Source organism: Homo sapiens, chromosome 1 (genome assembly GCF_000001405.40).
Source record: "Homo sapiens chromosome 1, GRCh38.p14 Primary Assembly".
Taxonomy (NCBI): Eukaryota; Metazoa; Chordata; class Mammalia; order Primates; family Hominidae; genus Homo; species Homo sapiens.
In genome coordinates, this window is record NC_000001.11 from 161601556 (window position 1) to 161622192 (window position 20637).

General features: G+C 46.6%; 1 non-coding gene and 2 pseudogenes across 2 annotated transcripts, besides 3 other annotated features; 1 reads left to right on the forward strand and 2 right to left on the reverse strand.

Annotated features, from left to right (window-relative positions):
- On the forward strand, positions 4617 to 6995 carry HSPA7 (heat shock protein family A (Hsp70) member 7 (pseudogene); annotated as a pseudogene). Its single transcript, NR_024151.2, has one exon. The product of NR_024151.2 is annotated as a heat shock protein family A (Hsp70) member 7 (pseudogene) (transcript).
- Positions 10231 to 10925: an enhancer, noted in NCBI's record as "NANOG-H3K27ac hESC enhancer chr1:161581576-161582270 (GRCh37/hg19 assembly coordinates)". NCBI's record gives its function as "activates a minimal SCP1, AML or CMV promoter by ChIP-STARR-seq in naive H9 embryonic stem cells {active_cell/tissue: H9 hESC(naive)}" and the evidence as "EXISTENCE:reporter gene assay evidence [ECO:0000049][PMID:30033119]".
- Positions 10391 to 10474, reverse strand: TRL-CAA6-1 (tRNA-Leu (anticodon CAA) 6-1). The gene has a single exon. It is a non-coding gene; the product is annotated as a tRNA-Leu (tRNA).
- Positions 10926 to 11619: an enhancer, noted in NCBI's record as "NANOG-H3K27ac hESC enhancer chr1:161582271-161582964 (GRCh37/hg19 assembly coordinates)". NCBI's record gives its function as "activates a minimal SCP1, AML or CMV promoter by ChIP-STARR-seq in primed H9 embryonic stem cells {active_cell/tissue: H9 hESC(primed)}" and the evidence as "EXISTENCE:reporter gene assay evidence [ECO:0000049][PMID:30033119]".
- Positions 11364 to 11413: an enhancer, noted in NCBI's record as "active region_1993". NCBI's record gives its function as "activates an Ori minimal core promoter by ATAC-STARR-seq in GM12878 lymphoblastoid cells {active_cell/tissue: GM12878}" and the evidence as "EXISTENCE:reporter gene assay evidence [ECO:0000049][PMID:35858748]".
- Positions 16440 to 18030, reverse strand: RPS23P9 (ribosomal protein S23 pseudogene 9; annotated as a pseudogene).

Here is a 20637-nt window from a genome sequence, read left to right on the forward strand (position 1 = left end):
AGTGCAGTTACCAGAAGGATGTGACCTTCTCAGAGAAGTCATTCCAGGCAGATTAGAAACATGACCCACAGTCTCCTTGATGGTTTGGTGAGTGCCCTTAAAGAGCCTTCCATTTTCCTGGGACACAGCATCACTGTGCACAATTCTTGCATTTGAAAAGTAGCAGCTTTCTCTGTTGGATAGTTTACATCGATTTTTAAGGAGGCTATGGAGCTTCCACCCACCCTTCCAAACTCTATGTATTAGTCTGTCTCTATGTATTAGTGTGTTCTCATGCTGCTATGAAGAAATACCTGAGACTGGGTTATTCATGAAGAAAAGAGGGTTAATTGGCTCACAGTTCCTCATCGCTGGGGAGGCCTCAGGAAACTTACAATCACAGCAGAAGGCAAAGGAGAAGCAGTCACCTTCTGCACATGATGGCAGGACAGAGTGAGTGCAAGCAGGGAAGGTGCCAGACACTTATAAAACCCTAAGCTCTCGTGAGACTCACTCACTATTATGAGAACAGCATGGGGAAACCGTCGCCATGACCCAGTTACCTCCACCTGGTCCCACTTTTGACAGATGGGGATTATGAGGATGACAACTCAAGATGAGACTTTGGGTGGAGACAGAGCCAAACCATATCACCCTAGACAGAGGCTCCTCAAATATGTAAAGCCTTGTTAAATCCTGCTTTTACATTAAAATGCACCCAACAATCTGACTGCTTCTCAGTATTCTACTCCTACCACCCTGGTCCAAGCCACCATCATTTCTCACTTGGATTACTGCAATAGCCTCCTGACTGGCCTCCCTGCACTCACCCTTGCCATCCTATAGTCTATTCTCACCACAACAGCTATTGTGATCTTTTAAAAATGTGTCATATTTGTCACTTCTTTTCCCCAAATCATATACTATCTTCTCCTTGTGCTTGGAGTAAAGGCTAGAGCTTTTGCAATATTCTACAAGATGCTACAGGATCTTGCTCTTCACTCTCTCTGACCTCATCTCCTACTGCTTTTTCTTGCTTGCTGTTGGTCACTCTTGCTCTTCCTTGAACGTGCCAATTATACTTCTGCCCAGAGCCTATGTTATTTCCTGTTTCTGGAATGTTCTTTCTCATAGACCCACATTATGCCTCATTATGTCCTTTAGGTCTTTACTCACATGTCACCTTATCAGTGAGGTCTCCTTGATCATTCGGTATAACCCGTCGCCCTCCCATACTCTTAATGTCCCTTTCCTTCTTCATTTTTCTCCATTGTGCTTATTACTACTGATGTACTATTAATATATGTTTACTGTTTGTTTTGTGTCTGACTTCCCCACTCCTCTCATTAGAATGCGAGCTCCAGGAGAGGTCTTTGTCTGTTTTGTTCACTACCACATACTCAGAGCCCAGGTCAGTGTCTGGTGCATGGTAAAGGGCTTAATAAATATGTGTGGAATGAGTAAATTCTTTGACGTTTGAAATCAGAGACTTTAAACTGGAAAGTCCTTAGAAACAATGTAGTCCAATCTCTTCATTTTAAAACGGAGGAAGCTGTGGCCCAGACAGGTGAAATGACTTGTTCAAGGACAAACAGGTAGTGGATGTCACTGACCTTTATATATATATAGTTTGGATTATACTATAACTTTTGTTCTATAGTGAAATGGTTTGGCTATGTCCCCACCCAAATATCATCTTGAATTCCCACAACACATGGGAGGGACCCAGTGGAAGGTAACTGAATCATGGGGCAGGTCTTTCCCATGCTGTTCTTGTGATAGTGAATAAGTCTCATGAGATCTGATGGTTTTAAAAAGGGGAGTTTCCCTGCACAAGCTCTCTCTTCTCTTGTTTGCCACCATGTGAGACATGACTTTCACCTTTTGCCATGATTGTGAGGCCTCCCCAGCCACGTGGAACTGTAAGTCCATTAAACCTCTTTCTTTTGTAAATTGCCCCGTCTCAGGTACGTCTTTATTAGCAGTGTGAGAATGGGCTAACACATACAACTTGCTTTTTTTTTGTACTCAATATTGAGTCGTGAGCTTTGCACCACTTTACAATGTCTATTTAAGTCATTACTTTAAGGTCGATTCTATTTTTAAAGCTACTCTAACTAAGCTACTAAACATAAGTGGATATATTTAAGTGTATGTATAAAATTTATACTAGGCCAGCTGCGGTGGCTCATGCCTGCAATCCCAAAGCTGTGGAAGGTAGAGGTGGGATTGATTGAGGCCACGAGTTCAAGGCTGCAGTGAGCTGTGATTGCATCACTGTACTCCAGCCTGAGGGACAGAGCAGGAACCAGAAAAAAATAAAATAAAAAGAAACAAACAAAAAAACCCCCAATAACCCTGCAGTGGCTCTTTTACAAAAAACAAACAAACAAAACCAAAACTGTACTGCATGCATAAGCTCCCCTATGCTATGTTTGAACCACTCTGAAGAGATCAATTAAAAGGAAGTGAGTGACATTGGGAGCATGCCTCTGTGATGCTGTGGTAACATTCATAGGCTGCGTTAGGGCTATGCCTGTAACTCTTGGAGATGAGTGGGTAAGTGGGGTTTTGAGGTGGCTGGGGGCTGGAAGAGAAGGTTGGAGGAGCCCACACAAGACAGTCCCTTAACACGCCGGGGCACAGAACCCCAGGCTGGGCCAACTTTTCCCTGCTGAGGTGAAGACCCATCTCTTGCAGGCCGTCGGCAAACGTCTTGACTCTGGCATCCAGGTGTGACCAGCTTAGACCCTGAGAGTGAGTGAATTTAAAGCTGACAGCTTCTTTCCCTTTTGGAATTATGAAATAGGTTACTTCTTTTCAAGGACAGTTTGATTTTCCACTGTGGAAGTCATATATTGCACATTTCTTTAAACATTCCCTTTTTTCCTGAACTGATCACCTTACCAGTACAGCTGATCTCTCAAGCAGCAATCTCTACCAGCTGTCACTGGTGCTCTCGGAGAGAGGATTAACCAAGAAACCCAGCCCAGGAACAGTACTGACCTCTACTTCTGGACTCCTGCCTCCCTCTTAAAAAGTCCCTTGAACTTCCTAGTGGGTTCTAACCTGTCAAAGGAGAAAATAGCCACCTATGGAGTAAGGGTTTTTAGTTTCTCTTTTTACAAATGGAAGTTTCCTTTGAATCAGGCAAGTAACGTTAAATAGAAGCCAACTTTTAAGTTTCTCCTTATAACACACTGCTAAATTATAACACCAGACTGTACCACATACTCTCCAGCTGCCAGCTATTGCAGTTGCCATCCTTGTTACTATAGTGGTAAGTATCTCTGCCTGTCATGCATGAGAGAGGGGGTCGATTCCCTGACGGGGAGGTTACGGAAAATTGTGTGGGGATTTTGTCAACCTTCAAAAGTCTCAGAAATGTCTCCTTGTTTTGGCTTTCAGCGGAAATCCGAACGCCAGAAGATCTGAATGGAATGTTCTGGATTGAAGAAAGTGGGAAATGGCCTCAATTCACAAAGTCACAGCCTGATAGAAACCAGTGTGACTTTACTGCCCAGTGAACCCATCTCGTCCTCCAGCCTTTAGGAGGTAGGTTGGACTGGAGCCTGCAGTAGTTTACTCTCCACCTGAGTCCTGGTCTCCGGCTGGGAACCCACTTAGGCCATAGAGAAAAACGCACACTGTGCCTCTCCACCGGGCCTCTGGAGACGAGGCTCCTCGGGGATACAAACAGTGGGGAGAACATGAGGGACATCCTGACCGTACACTGCGTCCTCCTTTCCCAGGTGTTGCGTTCTCTCTTGGGTTGAGTGGCGAGGTCTCTCCCGAGTCCCAGGGCCACAGTGCAATGTCACATCTCCTTTGTGGAAAGTGACTGGTAAAAGAGAACAAAACTGGAGGAACCTAAAGTCTTCGGCCACCTGGTTTAATTTATTCAAGAGTGATTAATCCTAGATGAGAAAAAGAATTGAAATGGATCGGAAAAAACCAAGCGTGCATTGGCCGGTAATCGGACGCGGGCCTCCCGCGTTGCGGGCGAGAAGTCTACCACTACACCACCAATGCTAATGTCGATGAAAGAGCTGCAGTGTCATCTCTTAAAGCTGATTATCTCTGGCCATTCCTTAAGGAAACAGGCACTGTCTTAAATCGTGGTTTGGAAAATATTTTGTTCAAGATAAAACTGTTTTAAGATATATGTATATATATCTTATATATCTGTATTCGCATGGTAACATATCTTCGGCCTTCCTGAGCCGCTGGGCTCTCAGCGGCCCTCCAAGGCAGCCCGCAGGCCCGTGCTCGCCTCAGGGATCCGACCTCCCACAGCCCCGGGGAGACCTTGCCTCTAAAGTTGCTGCTTTTGCAGCCTCTGCCACAACCGCGCGTCCTCAGAGCCAGCCGGGAGGAGCTAGAACCTTCCCCGCGTTTCTTTCAGCAGCCCTGAGTCAGAGGCGGGCTGGCCTGGCATAGCCGCCCAGCCTCTCGGCTCACGGCCCGATCCGCCCGAACCTTCTCCCGGGGTCAGCGCCGCGCTGCGCCGCCCGGCTGACTCAGCCCGGGCGGGCGGGCGGGAGGCTCTCGACTGGGCGGGAAGGTGCGGGAAGGTTCGCGGCGGCGGGGTCGGGGAGGTGCAAAAGGATGAAAAGCCCGTGGAAGCGGAGCTGAGCAGATCCGAGCCGGGCTGGCGGCAGAGAAACCGCAGGGAGAGCCTCACTGCTGAGCGCCCCTCGACGGCGGAGCGGCAGCAGCCTCCGTGGCCTCCAGCATCCGACAAGAAGCTTCAGCCATGCAGGCCCCACGGGAGCTCGCGGTGGGCATCGACCTGGGCACCACCTACTCGTGCGTGGGCGTGTTTCAGCAGGGCCGCGTGGAGATCCTGGCCAACGACCAGGGCAACCGCACCACGCCCAGCTACGTGGCCTTCACCGACACCGAGCGGCTGGTCGGGGACGCGGCCAAGAGCCAGGCGGCCCTGAACCCCCACAACACCGTGTTCGATGCCAAGCGGCTGATCGGGCGCAAGTTCGCGGACACCACGGTGCAGTCGGACATGAAGCACTGGCCCTTCCAGGTGGTGAGCGAGGGCGGCAAGCCCAAGGTGCGCGTATGCTACCGCGGGGAGGACAAGACGTTCTACCCCGAGGAGATCTCGTCCATGGTGCTGAGCAAGATGAAGGAGACGGCCGAGGCGTACCTGGGCCAGCCCGTGAAGCACGCAGTGATCACCGTGCCCACCTATTTCAGTAACTCGCAGCGCCAGGCCACCAAGGACGCGGGGGCCATCGCGGGGCTCAAGGTGCTGCCGATCATCAATGAGGCCACGGCAGCAGCCATCGCCTATGGGCTGGACCGGCGGGGCGCGGGAAAGCGCAACGTGCTCATTTTTGACCTGGGTGGGGGCACCTTCGATGTGTCGGTTCTCTCCATTGACGCCGGTGTCTTTGAGGTGAAAGCCACTGCTGGAGATACCCACCTGGGAGGAGAGGACTTCGACAACCGGCTCGTGAACCACTTCATGGAAGAATTCCGGCGGAAGCATGGGAAGGACCTGAGCGGGAACAAGCGTGCCCTGCGCAGGCTGCGCACAGCCTGTGAGCGCGCCAAGCGCACCCCGTCCTCCAGCACCCAGGCCACCCTGGAGATAGACTCCCTGTTCGAGGGCGTGGACTTCTACAAGTCCATCACTCGTGCCCGCTTTGAGGAACTGTGCTCAGACCTCTTCCGCAGCACCCTGGAGCCGGTGGAGAAGGCCCTGCGGGATGCCAAGCTGGACAAGGCCCAGATTCATGACTTCGTCCTGGGGGGAGGGCTCCACTCGCATCCCCAAGGTGCAGAAGTTGCTGCAGGACTTCTTCAACGGCAAGGAGCTGAACAAGAGCATCAACCCTGATGAGGCTGTGGCCTATGGGGCTGCTGTGCAGGCGGCCGTGTTGATGGGGGACAAATGTGAGAAAGTGCAGGATCTCCTGCTGCTGGATGTGGCTCCCCTGTCTCTGGGGCTGGAGACAGCAGGTGGGGTGATGACCACGCTGATCCAGAGGAACGCCACTATCCCCACCAAGCAGACCCAGACTTTCACCACCTACTCGGACAACCAGCCTGGGGTCTTCATCCAGGTGTATGAGGTTGAGAGGGCCATGACCAAGGACAACAACCTGCTGGGGCGTTTTGAACTCATTGGCATCCCTCCTGCCCCACATGGAGTCCCCCAGATAGAGGTGACGTTTGACATTGATGCTAATGGCATCCTGAGCGTGACAGCCACTGACAGGAGCACAGGTAAGGCTAACAAGATCACCAATGACAAGGGCCGGCTGAGCAAGGAGGAGGTGGAGAGGATGGTTCATGAAGCCGAGCAGTACGGGGCTGAGGATGAGGCCCAGAGGGACAGAGTGGCTGCCAAAAACTCGCTGGAGGCCCATGTCTTCCATGTGAAAGGTTCTTTGCAAGAGGAAAGCCTTAGGGACAAGATTCCCGAAGAGGACAGGCGCAAAGTGCAAGACAAGTGTCAGGAAGTCCTTGCCTGGCTGGAGCACAACCAGCTGGCAGAGAAGGAGGAGTATGAGCATCAGAAGAGGGAGCTGGAGCAAATCTGTCGCCCCATCTTCTCCAGGCTCTATGGGGGGCCTGGTGTCCCTGGGGGCAGCAGTTGTAGCGCTCAAGCCCACCAGGGGGACCCCAGCACCGGCCCCATCATTGAGGAGGTTGATTGAATGGCCCTTCGTGATAAGTCAGCTGTGACTGTCAGGGCTATGCTATGGGCCTTCTAGACTGTCTTCTATGATCCTGCCCTTCAGAGATGAAGGGCTTGGGGGGGTCTTCCCTCCAAAGCTAGAACTTTCTTTCCAGGATAACTGAAGTCTTTTGACTTTTTGGGGGGAGGGCGGTTCATCCTCTTCTGCTTCAAATAAAAAGTCATTAATTTATTAAAACTTGTGTGGCACTTTAACATTGCTTTCACCTATATTTTGTGTATTTTGTTACTTGTATGTATGAATTTTGTTATGTAAAATATAGTTATAGACCTAAATAAACTTTTAAAACTCCTTCTTGCTTTTCATTCCAACCAATCAAAGTACAAAAGTACATAAAGGCTTTCAGAAGCAGAAAATGTTGGGGTGGGTGCTGAAGGAGGAATGTGAAGAATATTCCTGAGACCGTGTGCATGATTCCTATAGGGGAAGGCAGGGTTTGGAAAAGAGTTTGAGGCCAATACATTGGAACAGTACTGAAGAGTTAGGGCTGGTAAAGAGGAGAGGATTGAGATATAATGCAGGAAGAGAGAGGGAGAGATGTGGAATTGGAAAAGCAGAGAATGAAGAGAAACTTAAGTACTGGCAGTGTTTCCATGTGTGATCCTATGATTCAAATTCTGTATTTTTGTCATAGGAACCTGGTTGAGTTTGTCAGTCTAGCTGTTTTAATAACACTAACAAATAGTTTACATGCTTATTAGCTGTTTGTAATCATGTCACTTTATCCATTGTTCTTTTAGAGAAAAGACTCTGAGTCCTGGACTCTGGAGGATGGTATATGTCAGAGGAAGTAGATCTGGTGGTACGATTAAAGTTACTATTGACTTTATCTATGTCAGAGAAATAGTATGATCCCATGTGGTTTCTGCCCATGGCATAATGAGGATGTTGGAACAAGACTCTATAGATTTTCAGCCCTGCCACTTTATATACTGTGCAAATTAAACTCTCCAAGCTTCAGTTTCTCCTTCCCTGCAGTGGGGATGATGATGATGATAACAGTACCAACCTCCAGACTGTTGTGAGGGTTCAATTAATTAATATATGTAAGAGGCAAAGAAGAATGTCAGGCGTATAATATACTATCAACAAATATTAGCAATTACTATTAATTGTTAGTTGGGTGATAACTATGTACTAGGTACTTGACATACACAATCTAACTTAATCTTCACAGTAGCATTATGGAATACTATCTTCTTTTTGAAGATGAGCATTATGAGGTTCAAAGAGGTTAAACAATTTATTCAAAGACACAAAGCTATAAAGTGGGGACAGGAAGGCTGGAATGAAGAACCCTGTCCTGCCTGAGTCTAGAGCCTCAGCATGCCACCTTACAAATAGGCCATAACTCCACTTATTACCAGACCTTCCCCTAGATGTTTTGAAATTGGTCATATTATTCCTTTGAAACACAGCTGGATGCTGAGCCCCGTGAGAAAAAGTGTGCATTTTATTGTATACTTGCAGAGACAGAGTCTTGCTCTGTCGCCTAAGCTGGAGTGCAAAGGTGCGATCTCAACTCACTGCAACCTCTGCCTCCCGGGCTCAACCAATTCTCCTGCCTCAGCCTCCCGAGTAGCTGGGATTACAGGTGCCTGCCATCACACCCAGCTAAGTTTTGCATTTTTAGTAGACATGGGGTTTCACCATGTTGGTCAGGCTGGTCTCAGACTCGTGACCTCAGGTGATCTGCCCACCTCAGCCTCCCAAAGTGCTAGGATTACAGGTGTGAGCCACCACGCCTAGCTAGTTGTGTGTTTTTTATAGCAAGTGACGGAATCTGCAAAATATCCTTAGGCACAACTTTACTGCCAGTTGAGTCAATGACAATATAAAAGCAAGGATATTTGCCTTTGCTTTGTTGGTGTAAACAAAATAATCAAAAGGATAACCTTGTGTTAGTTCCCAGTCAATCCAATCCAGAGTATATTTGCCCTGTGCACATTGGGAGATTTATTTTCATCTCAGAAATTATGGGAGAGCTTGGCTAGAACAATGCTACATTATACATTATATTTCTTAGGTTGATTTTTTAAAGACGGAGAGAAGGTTACACTAACAACGCACTTGTCCCTGGCTGTCATTTCACATTTTTAACTGCCCTTTTTTCCTGGCCCTGGCCCAAGTCTTACGCAGCCTGGCTTCACATGGAAGGAACCTGAAAAAAAAAAAAAAAGAGAGAGAGATGGAGTGACACGTACATCCTGCATTACATTCTTCCTTTCCTGAATCTCATCTCAATTCTCAACATTGACCCCCCTCAACCTGTTTGAACTTCTCAAGAGGATTGATGGTACTCACTTTTATATAGTTTCTTAGTATTTTGATAGCATGCCTTTTCTCCTTTTAAAAAACCCAACACACACGGAATATAAGAAGAAAGATTTTTATCGTGTTTAGTTGTGACATCTCAGATCCTCCCATTTGGGTGCAATCTATTTTTCTACAGAGAAATATAAACAAACTTTATTTACTTTTAAATGTCTGTTGATCATTTTGGTTTAGTTTCTTTGGGGACTGTTTCTTGTATACTAGGTATCTAAAAATCCTTATATTGTATGTAGTCTTAGTTTGATTATTGTAATCACAACTATGTCACCCAGTTCCAAAGGGGGGGAAAAAGTTTGAACAAATTAAATCAGAACACATGCCCATTATTAAAAAAATCAATTCTTGGTACAAGCAGTTTCTTGCCCCCTTCCCAGGTCCTACTCCTCACAGGCAACCACTTTCAAGTTGTTGGTTTTTTAAAAGAATTTTTGATTTTGCAATAATTTTAGATGAACAGACAAGTTGCAAAGATACTACATAAAGTTATTACTCTATATCCTTTCTACTTCCCCTAATGTTAAAACCTTACATAACCATGTTATATTTATCAAACCTAAGAAATTGGCATTGGTATAACATTAATGACTTTTTTTTTTTTTTTTGGACACAGGGTCTCACTCTGTACCCCAGCCTGGAGTGCAGTGGCACGATCTCGGCTCACTGCAACCTCTGCCCCCTGGGCTCAAGAGATTCGCCTCAGGCTCCCGGAGTAGCTGGGACTACAGGCGCGAACCCCGGGTACTTGGGAGGCTGAGGCACGAGAACCGCGTGGACCGGGAAGACGGAGGCTGCAGTGAGCCAAGATCGCGCCACAGTACTCCAGCCTGGGGTACAGAGTGAGAACCTGTCTCAAAAAAAAAAAAAAAAAAGCTGGGGAGCGGGGCAAGGCGGTGGAGAATCTGATCCTTACCAAAGTTTGACACTACTGCGTTAGCGTTAAAAAAAAAACCCAGCTAAGACTGTAGAGCAAATTAAAGGATCCTGTGTTGAGGGCGTTCTCTTGTTTAGTCAAAGGAGATGGTATCTGCCTGCCTTAGTGTGCTTGACGCACAGAAAGGGCTCAACACATTGTTGTTGAATAAAAGAATGGATAAATTGACACTGGGAAGTTGGAGTCCAAAGTTAAACTTAGTCTCAACTGCTCCCTGTTTTCATAGACCAGACTCCAGCCTACAATACAGGAAAAATAGATTTAGTTCTATATGTGCAGAGAAGCACAAATAATTTTCGTAAATGTAGATACCCAGGATAAAACGCAGTGTTGACCGATCGAAAAGTCTTTCTCTAAGAATTCAAACATAATTGCTGGTTGGTTCAAATCAGGAGGAAAAGTAAGGATGGAAAACATACGTTGTCAAAAGTGGGATTCGAACCCACGCCTCCAGCGGAGGGTGCGATTTGAACGCAGCGCCTTAAGACTGCTCGGCCATCCTGACACACGTTTTGCTAAACTTCCTAATTTCTCCTAATTTTATCATATACTGATGGTGCACGCTATCAGGTCACATTAATGTGTCTATTTACTGTTTCAAATAAAATTGTAACTCTCTCTAGACCTTGTCGCAAAGCGGGAAAAATGAAACAGCCTCCGACAGCTCTTTCCTCTTTCCTCACTACCCAAACTAAACCTTAAGGCTCCATTTTCCCTGGCGACTCTTCGAGCGCCCCTCTGCTTCTGTAGAGGGGTCGAGCCATGTCAAGGTAGACCCTGTGTCGGCCCGTCTCCCTCGGATCCTCCGCACCAATCACTGTTGCTGAATCCGACACCCGGCGGATCCAGTGCGGAGTCTCGAACAGCTGCGGAGCTGGGAGCTACGGGACATGAGGAGTGCGGGGGGGAAGAGAAGACGGCGGAGGAAAATCCCCCGGCGGTGCTCAACTGCGGCTTTCTCTCTCGGCTGTGAGCCGGCTCCGCCCTCCGGCTTCCAGAGCAAGTGGCTTCTGCGTTCACCGCCCCCCGCCGTTTGTGGGGCGGGGCCGATTCATAAGAATCGGTTCTCACCAATGGAGGGCTTAGCATGTTTAACCTCAGGATCATAAACAAAAGACACTGCTAGAACGGTCGGGAAAGTCATACGCTTTGCTTATCTTATATATAGATTTCTAAAATTCCAAACCGGGGACGCGTTGGTGGTGTAGTGGTGAGCACAGCTGCCTTTCAAGCAGTTAACGCGGGTTCGATTCCCGGGTAACGAAACGTTTTTGTCTTTCCTTCTACGAAAAACTTTTCTGAGCCGGAGCCTCCAGCGCGCTGTGTATTCGTTTTACGCCTCAACGAAACTGCAGCAATACCTCACTTTCCGTACTCGCTTCCTGTCTTTCCCCTGGCCTCTTTCTAAACCCAGGCTTTTTTTGAAGGGATTAAATTCTGATGGTTCTTTCCTCCCTTCCTTCCTTTGTAAACTTCCAACTCTTGAGGAATCTTTGGGATCATTTCAATCCTGGGATGAGTCTTAGCTTCAGAAAGGGGCTCTTGTGTCTTCACTTGCGAGGTTCATTCGCTAGCCTCTACAAATCATCACTTAAGCCCCTAATTATTCCCGGCCGAGGTCCTAGGCTAAGGTCCCGGGCCAAGCTTTCTAATTAGTCCCAGGCCAAGGTCCCAGGCCAACCTAAATCACGCATTCTCCAAAACAGCCGGCAAACTAAGCACATTCCTTCCCGTTTCCAGTCCATAAACCCCCCCCCCCAAGTGGCCTCATAGTAAGCAACTCATTCGGGCCCCCTCTCTGCTGGCAAAAAGCTCAGATGTACTGGACTGTGCATTTGATTTGGAACTGAGTTACATGGGAGAGAAGCAGGGATTCAGTTTGGCTGGGAATCAAACTCTTTTGATAATTTCCTAATAAACTGATAGTCATTAGATGACTTGTAGTCTCGATAAGTTGAAACTTTTTCCTAACATGCTGTTTATGATACTGAGTTCTTTGTCACCGGTTGAACTAACAGCAATTGTATTCACAAATTTTCCAGCCTTTAAAATACTGTCTGAGGGTTTTATGTATCCGTTATCTTTTATTATACAAAAGTCATTTATTGGAATGACATATATAATTAGATTGACCCTAACCATTCAGGCTGGATGAGGCAACACAGTGTGAAGATTAAGTGCATGGGCTCTGTTGTGCTTCCTGTGTTTGAATCTTGGCTCTCTTTGTCTCCATTTCCTCCTGTAAAAGAGGATAATGATGATAATTTTAATTCTTCAATGGGTTAATATATAAACATATATTACAAATGTATAAACATTGCCAGGAGGGTCCATTGTTAATGCCTGTAGTGGGATGATGTTTGAGATTTTAAGTCTCATTCCCTAAAATGGAGGTGAAATTCAACAGGGATGGGAAGAAAGAACATCTGCACCTCAGCCACCCTTTAGCTCCAAACCTCCCTTATGCTCTCATCTGCCCCACAGCCTCCATCCTGTAACAAGAGGACCAGCTGTGCCAGTGGAGGCCACAGCATCTAGCTTATGCCTCCAATGTAACCTGTTACTGCCCACCTGTTCTCCCTGATATTCTCTGACTCTTAGTACTAAGGTCCCACAGAGGCTGCAGTGCCCACAGGCAAGAAGAACCAAAGGGTAGTACTGACTGGTAGTGGCTAGCCACAGCTGTGTGGGGCCAGATTGACACTGCGCAATCGCTAAGTGGATCAGTGTTCAGGCTGCCCTGTCTTGGGAGACATATAGGGACAGGGACCTATAACCAACACCTGCCATAGGCTGGCTTCAGTTAGCCCTTCACGTTGGGATTCACTGAGTGGTTTTTCTGGAAGTGGCCACCTAGAGTTCCCTGTGGCCAGCCAAGGTATGGGGGCTGGCTTTTTGGGATGTCTAGGGAAAGCCAAAAGCAAAACCCAGAAGATAATTCTTTTTGTGGAGGAGTTAACAGATATAGCACTGACCAATCAGAATAGCCACTGGCTATACATTTCCCCATTATAACAGGATTCACTGCATTCCATAAATTTTGTTTTTTTAAATTTCCAAATATATGAAGGCTTTTAAAAGTTATTTTTTGTTATTGATTTCTGAGTTAAATTCCTTATGTTCAGAAAATGTGCTTCATATAGTACTGATTCCATGACATATGTTGAAGCTTACTGGCCTTAGCCAGGTGCGGTGGCTCAAGCCTGTAATCCCAGCACTTTGAGAGGCCGAGATGGGTGGATCACTTGAGATCAGGAGTTCAAGACCAGCCTGACCAACATGGTGAACCCATCTCTACTAAAAATAAAAAATAAATAAATGAAAAATATTAGCCAGGTGTGGTGGCACACGCACCTGTAATCCCAGCTACTTAGGAGGCTGAGGCAGGAGAATCACTTGCACCCAGGAGGCGGAGGTTGCAGTGAGCTGAGATAGTGCCATCATACTCCAGCCTGGGTGACAGAGCAAGTCTCCATCTCAAAAAAAAATAAATAAATAAATAAAAGAAACTTATCAGCCTCATATAAAGTCAGTTTTCATAATATCCCATGTGAGTTTGAGAAGAATGTACAACTAATAATTATTGATTGCAGTTCTATATATATATATCTGTTAAATTGAGCTTGTTAATTGCATTCATATGCTTAATAAAAGTAAATAAGAAAAAGAGACACACGCTTAATAATTTTTTTCTGTTTGATCTAGTAAGGGTTGAAGTATGCGGAATTCTCTCACTGTGGCGACGGATTTGTTCATTTTCCCTTGTAGGCCTAATTCTTGCTTTCATATTTTAATGCCATTTTATCTGTTATATATTCATCAGTAGTTTAATCTTTTATTATATGATGACCATCTTCATCCCTAATGATGCATTATTTCTTAAACTTTATTTTGTCTGATATTGTATAGCTATATGCCAACTTTCTTTTTGTTAGAATATTCCTGGCATTCCCTTTTCCATTTAGTCTTTCTGTTTCTTTACATTTTAATGTCATTCTTCTAAACAGAATAAAACTGATCTTAAAAATTCACTTTATCTTTTAACTGGAAGGTTTTGTTCAGTTGCATTATTATAATTACTGTTATAGGCCGGGTCATGGTGGCTTACACCTGTAATCCCAGCACTTTGGGAGGCTGAGGCAGGTGGATCACTTGAGGTCAGGAGTTCAAGACCAGCCTGGCCAACATAGTGAAACCGCATCTCTACTAAAAATTAGGTGGGTGTGGCGGCATGCACCTGTAGTCCCCAGGAGGCTGAGGTGGGAGAATCGCTTGAACCGGGAAGGTGGAGATTGCAGTGAGCCAAGATGCTACCACTGCACTCCAGCCTGGGTGACAGAGACTCTGTCCACCCACCCTCCAAAAAAAAATAGCTGATATATTTGAATTTATTTCACCACCTCGTTTTGTACTTTTGACCTCAATTATTCTTTTATTTTTATTTTTTTTTAATTGATCATTCTTGGGTGTTTCTCACAGAGGGGGATTTGGCAGGGTCATAGGACAATGGTGGAGGGAGGGTCAGCAGATAAACAAGTGAACAAAGGTCTCTGGTTTTCCTAGGCAGAGGACCCTGCGGCCTTCCGCAGTGTTTGTGTCCCTGGGTACTTGAGATTAGGGAGTGGCGATGACTCTTAACGAGCATGCTGCCTTCAAGCATCTGTTTAACAAAGCACATCTTCCACTGCCCTTAATCCATTTAACCCTGAGTGGACACAGCACATGTTTCAGAGAGCACAGGGTTGGGGGTAAGGTCATACATAGATCAACAGCATCCCAAGGCAGAAGAATTTTTCTTAGTACAGAACAAAATGGAGTTTCCCATGTCTACTTCTTTCTACACAGACACAGCAACAATCTGATTTCTCTATCTTTTCCCCACATTTCCCCCTTTTCTATTCCACAAAACCGCCATCGTCATCATGGCCCGTTCTCAACGAGCTGTTGGGTATAGCTCACAGACGGGGTGGCGGCTGGGCAGAGGGGCTCCTCACTTCCCAGAAGGGGCAGACGGGCAGAGGCACCCCCCACCTCCCGGACGGGGCGGTGGCAGGGCAGAGTCGCCCCCCATCTCCCTCCCAGATGGGGTGGCTGCCGGGCAGAGGCGCTCCTCACTTCCCAGACGGGGCGGCTGCCGGGCGGAGGGGCTCCTCACTTCTCAGACGGGGCGGCTGGGCAGAGACGCTCCTCACCTCCCAGACGGGGTCGCGGCCGGGCAGAGGTGCTCCTCACATCCCAGACGTGGCGGCGGGGCAGAGGCGCTCCCCACATCTCAGACGATGGGCAGCCGGGCAGAGATGCTCCTCACTTCCTAGATGGGATGGAGGCCAGGAAGAGGCTCTCCTCACTTCCCAGACTGGGCAGCCGGGCAGAGGGGCTCCTCACATCCCAGACGATGGGAGGCCAGGCAGAGACGCTCCTCACTTCCCAGACGGGGTGGCAGCCGGGCAGAGGCTGCAATCTCGGCACTTTGGGAGGCCAAGTCAGGCGGCTGGGAGGTGGAGGTTGTAGCTAGCCGAGACCACGCCACTGCACTCCAGCCTGGGCAACATTGAGCACTGAGTGAACGAGACTCCGTCTGCAATCCCGGCACCTTGGGAGGCCGAGGCTGGCAGATCACTCGCGGTTAGGAGCTGGAGACCAGCACGGCCAACACGGCGAAACCCCGTCTCCACCAAAAAAATACGAAAACCAGTCAGGCGTGGCGGCGTGCGCCTGCAATCGCAGGCACTCGGCAGGCTGAGGCAGGAGAATCAGGCAGGTAGGTTGCAGTAAGCCGAGATGGCAGCAGCACAGTGCAGCTTCGGCTGGGCATCAGAGGGAGACCGTGGAAAGAGAGGGAGAGAGAGACTGTGGGGAGAGGGGGAGGGGAGGGGGAGGGGGAGAGGGAGAGGGAGAGCTATTCTTTTATTCTTTAAAAATTCTTCCTTTTTACTCTCCTGCTTTTGCATTGCTGTCACATACATGTAAAATGTAGCACAGGAAATGTATGTGTATTCACAATCAACTGGAAACTAATAACTTTTTATTTCTGCTGTCAATCCAACAATGGAGGTAAAGCACAGAGTGGTAGTTCCAAACTTGAACTTCACAGATGAACAAAATTTCCCCACAATGTTGGTTACTGGCCAGGCGAGGTGGCTCAAGCCTGTAATCCCAACTACTTGGGAAGCTAAGGCAGGAGGATTGCTTGAGCTTGAGAGTTGCAGGCTGCAGTGAGCTAAGATCGTGCAGCTACACTCCAACCTAGGTGATAGAGCAAGACCCTGTCTCTAATGACATCAGAAAAGTTGGTTACTAGTATAGGGTGGCCAACTTTTCATTTTGCCAAATTGTGAAATTCATAAAACAAATAGCCACAAAACTATCATCTATCCTAATTTTAATTTTAAAAAAGAAAGGACATTTAAAAACAACTTATTTTGGCAAATGAAAACTTATTACTATTGGGTTTTCACCATTAAAGCTGATGAGCTTGGTCTTTCCTCCTTGCTTTTGATAGGGCCAAAAGAGAGACATTGGCTACTTTAACAACTTTAAGGTGGACTCCAGGAATATCACCAACAGCATGACCTTTTCTGCCAAATCCAGCAACCAGAACTGTTGCAGGAAGTCAGGGACCCTGAACGGAGGGACCAGCTGGAGCCGAGGCAGAAGAACATAAATTGTGATGATTTCATGGACATTTGTCAGTTTCCAAAATTAATACTTTTATAATTTCTTACACCTGTCTTTACTGCAATCTCTGAACATAAATTGTGAAGAATTCATGGACATTTATCGCTTCCCCAATCAATACTCTTATAATTTCTTATGCCTCTCTTTAATCTCTTAATCCTGTCATCTTCGTAAGCTGAGGATGTGTGTCACCTCAGGACCCTGTGATGGTTGCGTTAACTGTACAAATTGTAAAACATCTGTGTTTGAACAATATGAAATCAGCGCACCCTGAAAAAGAACAGAATAACAGCAATTTTCAGGGAACAAGGAAAGATAACTGTAAGGTCTGACTGCCTGTGGGGTCGGGCAGAATAGTGTCATATTTTTCTTCTTGCAGAGAGCCTATAGATGGACATGTGAGTAGGAGAAATATTGCTGAATTCTTTTCCCCACAAGGAATATTAATAATTGATAGCCCTGGGGAAGGAATGCATTCCTGGGGGTAGGTCTATAGATGGCCGCTCTGGGAGTCTCAGTCTTATGTGGTTGAGATAAGGACTGAAATACACCCTGGTCTCCTGCAGTACCCTCAGGCTTACTAGGATTGGGAAATTCCAGCCTGGTAAATTCTAGTCAGACCAGTTGTCTGCTCTCGAACCCTGTTTCCTGTTAAGATGTTTATCAAGACAATGTGTGCACAGCGGGACATAGGCCCTCATCAGTAATTCTAATTTTGCCTTGCCTTGTGATCTTTTATCGCCCTTTGAAGCATGTGATCTTTGTGACTTACTCCCTGTTTGTACACCCCCTCCCCTTTTAGAATCCCTAATAAAAACTTGCTGGTTTTGTGGCTCAGGTGGGCATCATGGAACCTGCCAATATGTGATGTCACCCCTGGCGGCCCAGCAGTAAAATTTTTCTCTTTGTACTCTTTCTCTTCATTTCTCAGACCGGTCAACACTTAGGGAAAATAGAAAAGAACCTACATTGAAATATTGGGTGCTGGTTCCCCTGATACAGAACTTCATCATTTTTTTCAATAAAATTCAAGCAATCATCATCAGGTACAAAGGCTGTGATTTTCTTGCTGTTCTCTCATCTGCCTCACAGCCTCCAACCTGTAACAAGAGGATCAGCTGTGCCAGTGGAGACCACAGCATCTAGCTTATGCTGGATGATCAGCTTGGCCCTGGCACACTTCTCAGTGGCAGAGCTGGGCTATTTGGCTCCAATCCCTACTTTTTCCAGCCCAATTCCCTTTGCATGAGAAGCACCTCCAAAAGGGCTGGTCTTCAGGACTGTGCCCGAATGGGCTTTCTTGTACCATTTACCATGCCACTTCTGATCCTGTCGGTGACAATGGAGCTTCCTGGAGGTAGACAGTCCATGACACTTGCCCATATTGCCAGCTCCACAGGTCTGAGCAAAAGAACAGAGACAAAAATTTAAAATAAAAGAAATGACTCTAGGCCTGGTACGGTGGCTCTTGCCTGTAATCCCAGCACTTTGGGAGTCTGAGGCGGGAGGATCACCTGTGGTCAGGAGTTTGAGACCAGCCTGGCCAATATAGCGAAAGCCCATCTCTGCTAAAAATACAAAAAAATTAGCTGGGCGAGGTGGCAGGCGCCTATAGTCCCAGCTACTCGGGAGGCTGAGGCAGGAGAATGGCGTGAACCTTGCGGGGCGGAGCCTGCAGTGAGCCGAGATCGCGCCACTGCATTCCAACCTGGGCGACAGCGAGACTCTGTCTCAAAAAAAAAAAAAAAAACACAAAAATTAGCCGGGCATGGTGGCCCATGACTGTAATCTTCTCAGCTACTCAGGAGGCTGAGGCAGGAGAATTGCTTGAATGTGGGAGGTGGAGGTTGCAGTGAGCCGAAATCGCACCACTGCACTCCAGCCTGGGCAACAGAGCAAGACTCCATCTCAAAAAAAAAAATTAATTAAAAAAAAATAAATGACTCTAGTTTAAAGATCATTTGGCAAATTTATTTATTTACTTATTTAGTATACATATGATACACATATATGTATTTTACATAAGATATAAAATATGTGTACACATAAACATATATGCATATATAATTTCTGCATATGCATATCTATGTTTGCATGTCTTCTCATTTCACTAAACATCATTGAAAACTTCCACCTGCAACTAAACTGGAGCCCACTGATGACAGAGGATGGCAGGGCAGAAAGAAAGGAGATTCTGTGTGGAGGCTATGGAGAGGCCCTGGGTCTTGGGCAGTATAGAAAATGGCTTTTGTCCAAGTGTTCTTATTGCTCAATTCCCACCTATGAGTGAGAACATGCGGTGTTTGATTTTCTGTCCTTGCGAAAGTTTGTTTAGACTGATGGTTTCCAGCTTCATCTATGTCCCTACAAAGGACATGAACTCATCCTTTTTTATGGCTGCATAGTATTCTATAGTGTATATGTGCCACATTTTCTTACTCCAGTCTATCATTGATGGACATTTGGGTTGGTTCCAAGTCTTTGCTATTGTGAATATTTCCGCAATAAACTTACGTGTGCACGGGTGGGGAACATCACACACCGGGACCTGTCGTGGGTGGGGAAGGGGGGAGGGATAACATTAGGAAAAACACCTAATGTAAATGACGAGTTAATGGGTGCAGCACACCAACATGGCACATGTATACATATGTAACAAACCTGCACCTTGTGCACATGTAGCCTAGAACTTGAAGTATATATATATGAATTAAAGAAAAAAAAGGCTTTTTAGACCCAGCACTGACGAGATTCCCTAGGTCGATGGTGGTGGAATTAGGGGTCTCTGTCCTCAGACATTTGGATCTGGATATGTCAGCATGAAAGTCCTTAAGTTGCAGGCATTTTTTAAAAAATATTTTTTATTTCCAAGCTGAATACCATTAATTGGAATGTTACAGGCTTTTTAAGCTCCGTGTTCTGTCTGCATGGCTAATATGCCCGTAGAAACCTTTCAAAACAGCGTGGGTTGAAGACTAATTTTGTAACACAAAACTCACTTACTTAGATATCACATTTTGCTGGACGTGATTGGACCTGAAAGAAAATATTTTTAATGCTCACGACAATAACCTTTTTATGAGTCAGCACTAAACGTGTGCACATGCATACATAAGTTGTCTACATCAGCAAAAAAAGCTTATCGTCGTATTTCTCTGACCAAAATCAACGGAACCCCCGAAATCACAGAGAGCATCCATTTTGGATTCCCCGAAGACCCTTCGTTCCTGCATCCTCTTCTGCTCTCCCTTTCTCAGCCTCTTCTGCTGGAAGCTGAGTCCTGCTCCAGATCTAGGCAAGTGCTAGCGCGGAAAAAAGACCTGCCTCGCTCAGGGCTGTGAGCCGCGCCCTGAAGCACGGAAAGCTAATTGTGTCACTGGTTTCAAATCAACTTCAAATTTTTTGGAGACGTAAGAGTGCTGAGCATTTTTTCTTCAGTGAAGTGACTTGGCAGCCCAGGTCGCCAACGCCCGTTTCTGTAGCGCGATCGGTTAGCGCCTTCGGCTGTTAAACGAAAGGTTGGTGGTTCGTTCCCACCCCGGGACAGAAGTCCCACTTTTGTGAACCTTGAGTTTTTGAAACTTTCACTGAAAAAAACCGCGTGCGATGCTATCCGCCGGGAGCGCTGGAGCCTTGGCTCTCAAAACCAGCCGCGGTGCTAACCGCCGGGATCCCTGGCAGCTGACCTCCGCGTTGTGTGGTTCCCAATGTCCTCTTCTGCCTTAGTGCTGTACGGGTAATTTTGAGGTATTTGGTTTTTCCGACTAGGGTTGTAGTGATAACTCTTAGCTGCTTAACCACTGCAATTACGTTATGGAAACTGACACTTTAAGAAAATTTACTGACCAAAGGAAGTAAGTACTAATAATACCAAAACAAATTGTTTGTCTTTCCACCAAACCTGTACCTGCCTTGCCTTTCTATTTCCTAACTCAGAAAACGGGCACTATGTGTGGAACCTGGTCCTTAGTCATGCCATGTACTGCCGGC